The sequence below is a fragment of the Homo sapiens genome, chromosome 9, assembly GCF_000001405.40.
Source record: "Homo sapiens chromosome 9, GRCh38.p14 Primary Assembly".
In the NCBI taxonomy this organism is placed as follows: domain Eukaryota; kingdom Metazoa; phylum Chordata; class Mammalia; order Primates; family Hominidae; genus Homo; species Homo sapiens.
In genome coordinates this window covers 84,258,221-84,262,451 of record NC_000009.12, presented here as the reverse complement: position 1 = coordinate 84,262,451, position 4,231 = coordinate 84,258,221, and the positions used below count along the sequence as shown (strand labels likewise).

The following is a 4,231-nucleotide window of genomic DNA, read 5'->3' as shown; positions in this document are numbered from 1 at the left end:
CTTTTCTCATCTTTAATCTAAATTAACTGCTCAATTCACCTGGGCAGCCACAGGCGAAAATCTCAGAAGTTTATCACACTGGTTTAGTTATTATCTCCCTAACTACTAAAAGCCACTTTTAATTTACATACTGAATGCACACACAAGTTATTTTTCCTACAAATGGAATCTCTAATTAGGATCAGCTTCATTCGAAACTGGGCAGCAAATGGGAAAATGAGAGGATTAGAGAACATCATTAATAGCAACTGCAAATAACCTTTTAATCAATTTTGAATATTTCCCTCTGAGGACTCACTCTTCCACTTATGAAACAGAAAATTTTGGCCTGCCATTAACAATAATCTCGACAGCATGCATAACAATAGTAATAATGGGCATTTTAAAAGTCAACCAACATGTGGATAGATATTTTTCATTATGAAATGCTTTCATTTGCATTTTTATCTCCTTTGATCTTACACCTGCCGTGTGTGTGTAGTAAGGTGTTTTTACTTCATTTCACAGACACAGGGCAAAGGGGTTAAGAGTGTGTCAGGTTACTTAGGTTTGGGTCTCAGTTCTACTGTTTATCACCTGTGTGGCCTTGGACAAGTTACTCAGTGTCTCGGAACCTCAGTAAACTTACAAAATGAAGACAAAAATGTCTACCACAGACAGACGGTGTGAAATGCGATCACACTAGTAAAATGCTCCATTAGTGGAGGATGGGTTCAGTGCTCTTCCCAGGGATGAGTAGTTTAATCTGCAGAACCAGGAAGAACCTGGGATCCAGATCTGGGGCTTGCCTGAAGCAAGAATCAATTTCAGAGCAGAATCAAGATTGACATTTCCAACACTTAACCTTTTTCCATTTCTGCTGTCCTATCAGCTACGCGAGCGCTCTTAAAGAATAAAAGGAATATGGAAACTCCTTTGGGACAGGGGTGCAACACAAATATTTTATGATCAATAGAAGAATCTATAAATAATGAATAGAACCCATAGAATCGTGCTGTCAATCCAGAAGCCTGGAAATGATTGTCACAGATTGCTTTTGCAGCTTGGGCACAGCGGAAAGCAGCCTGGCCACTTAGGGGACGAGGCCTAATGCTGAAGTCCAGAGCTGGCCACAAGGTGGCAGGATGTCACCAGCGAGCATGCTCAAGCCCAAACTTCCTGGAGCAATCTCCTTGTTCCCGCCCAGGCTAGGGCACTGATTGACGCCTGAAGCTCAAGATGACAACTTGAAATATTCCAATCAATATCAGCCCGAAATCTAATGCCAAAAATTCCGTAAATGCCATTCTTCTGCCTAATTGCTCAGCTCTTAGACAAGACAGTAAAACAGGCACGTCATCCTCCATGTACAAAAAGAAACTTCAAGGTGACCGTGAACTTATTCCAATATAAATGACTAACTCTTTTTGCATGAATTCCAATTTTCAAATGTACTAAAAAAAGTGAGAAGCTTTGGGTGTCAGAAGCAATCCTCCAGAATTCCTGGAGCTCTCCTATTATAATGTTTTCCTACAAAGATGAATATATCTAGCCAGGCACAGTGGTTCATGCCTATAATCTCAGCACTTTGGGAGGCCAAGACAGGAGGATCACTTGAGCCCAGGAGTTTGAGACCAGCCTGGGCAACACAGTGAGACCTCGTCTCTACAAAAAATAAAAAAAATAGCTGGGCATGGTGGCATGTGCCTATAGTCCTAGTGACTCCGGAGGCTGGTGCAGGAAGATCACTTGAGCCTAGGAGGTTTAGGCTGCAGTGAGCCATGATCTCACCACTGCTCTCCAGCCTGGGTGACACAGTAAGACCCTGTCTTTAAAAAAAAAAAAAAAGACTATATGTTCAAAAAATACTCAAATCTAAATTATTTCTATACAACTCAAATGCCACCAACCATTTTTAAAACCTGAATTTTCCTACCAACCTATTTCTGAGCTACCTTCTCTCTTTTCCTCTCCATAAAAGTGAATGTCTAAAGGATGATACAATAATTTAAATAACAGCCTAACTTTATACAAGGTTTTATATAGACTTGTATTATTTTAGAATCAGACAATAACTGGGAGATTATCTATTTCAATCTTTCATTTTCTTAAGAAAGAAACTGGTGTTGCCAGAGGTTAATAAATTTGCCAAATATGACACAGCAAGTTAGGTCAGAACTGAGACCCAAACTTTGGTCATCTCTCAAGATAGTTTGGACTAACTATGACCATTTATTTAACTGTGCCTGGAAAGTCATGACTTTCCTTTAGCCTGTAGAACAGCAAGCCAATAACAAGGAAGAAAATATCAGTTCAGTATTTTGCTCCATAATTCCAGCAGTTCAACTTGGCTTTGTACTAGAAACAATGATTAGGACAAACACTATCTGAGGAGCATCAAGATGAATACAATAGTAAAGCCCTAAAAATCAAATAAAATCCCTAACAGGTCACAGCCATTCAAACGGGATAGAAGATTGAGGAAAATTCAAGCAGAAGGAAGAAGATGCCTCTCCAGGGATGCTGGAGACCCTGAGCCCTCTCTCACAAGATGTGACTATAAAGTAATGCGACTGATTTTAAAAGAAACACAACCAGAGCTTACACATCTAAGTGAGCCCTGTGTTGCTTGGGGAGCTGCGTTTTTGTGGCAAGGATGCTGCCGCAGCTCAGATATTAACTCTTGTTTGGGAATTGTCTTCAGTGTCTTCTTTAGCACGTTCTTCTAAATGTTGATCACACACACAAATCTTGGTCATGCGAGAGTGGAGTTTTTTCTAGAAAACTTACAGTGTCAACTCTTGGAAAAAGGTGGCGGGTCAAGGTAGATCATCATATTTTGGGATAAATCTGAGTTGCATGTATTAAATAGTAACTGGGTTCATTTTCCCTTGTGGCTTAAACATTGGACGGTGTGCTTCATCTAGAGAAAAAGATTCACCCACATGGAGTCAGTCAAGGAAAAACCTTAAGGAGCATGAACAAATCTTTGTGTTACTGACTTCAAAGAAAGGCCTCTTAATTCTAGTTCTTAATAATTTTATGTCTGTTGATAAGCTACTCTTCTGTCTCTCAACCCACATCTAAGCTCTTCTAAAGGAAAGGTCAATTATTAGATCAAATCATATGAAATTACTGCTATTTGACCATATTTAATGTACAAAAATCATGTCTTTCAAGGTAATCCATTTAACAGCTTTATATCTTAATAGAGGCCAGGTGCGGTGGCTCATGCCTGTAATCCCAGCACTTTGGGAGGCCAAGGCAAGTGGATCACAAGGTCAGGAGTTCGAGACCAGCCTGGCCACCATGGTGAAACCCCATCTCTACTAACAATACAAAAAATTAGCCAGGCATGGTGGCAGGCGCCTGTAATCCCAGCTACTCGGGAGGCTGAGGCAGGAGAATCGCTTGAATCTGGGAGGCGGAGGTTGCAGTGAGCCAAGATCACCCCACTGCACTCCAACCTGGGCAACAAGAGTGAAACTGTCTCAAAAAAAAAAAAAAAAAAAAAAAAAACTTAGTAGAGTGGTAAAAAGCAGTTCAAACGTGTTATCTAACATCACCCTGCTGCTGAGATGGACAATACTGAACATCGATATTGAGATCCTAGAGCATGTGATGTTAAACAGCCTCACAAGAGCCAAACGTCAGTTTTCTCTCTTAATAGTCCTATTTTTTATGCATTTAGGTTTTTCTCACCATCTAATTTAAACTGCACATCTTGAGGGTATAAAATATTCTGCCAAACACACCCACAAACAGCCTTTCACAATCAGGGCTATTCTGTAAAAACCATCCGTCTTACCCCAAGCAATGATGATAATGTGATTACCTACATATTGGAAAGCAGGTCTGCCAATTTGGTCCCTCTAGGTCCTGGGTCTCAGCCAGACAGGCCAGCTGATCTGATTTGTGCCTAAGCGATTTCACTAAGGAACAGAGTGTACCCTCCGCCTTTTCACCTCCCTCCCGCAGGGCAGATGTGACCCGGCCGATCACGGTTGAAGTTACTGTGCAGTGAGCCTTCTTTCCCCCTCTAGTTCTTCTCTTTGCTTTTCATTTCTTCGTTATCCTGCATTTATCATCAAAACGTGATCAGAGAAGCCCCTGGCCAGTTCTGCCCCTTCCCCCCTTGCTACACACCAGGGTGGACATTCATTTGAATATTCAGATTCATCCTCCAGTGTCTCTAATCTGCCTGGGAGAAAGGACTCATTGGTTAGAGCATAGAAATTTCTGGTTATTATTT

At 41.0% G+C, this 4,231-nt stretch overlaps 1 annotated feature.

Moving 5' to 3' along the window:
• Positions 1,180–1,239: a silencer, noted in NCBI's record as "silent region_19983". NCBI's record gives its function as "represses an Ori minimal core promoter by ATAC-STARR-seq in GM12878 lymphoblastoid cells {active_cell/tissue: GM12878}" and the evidence as "EXISTENCE:reporter gene assay evidence [ECO:0000049][PMID:35858748]".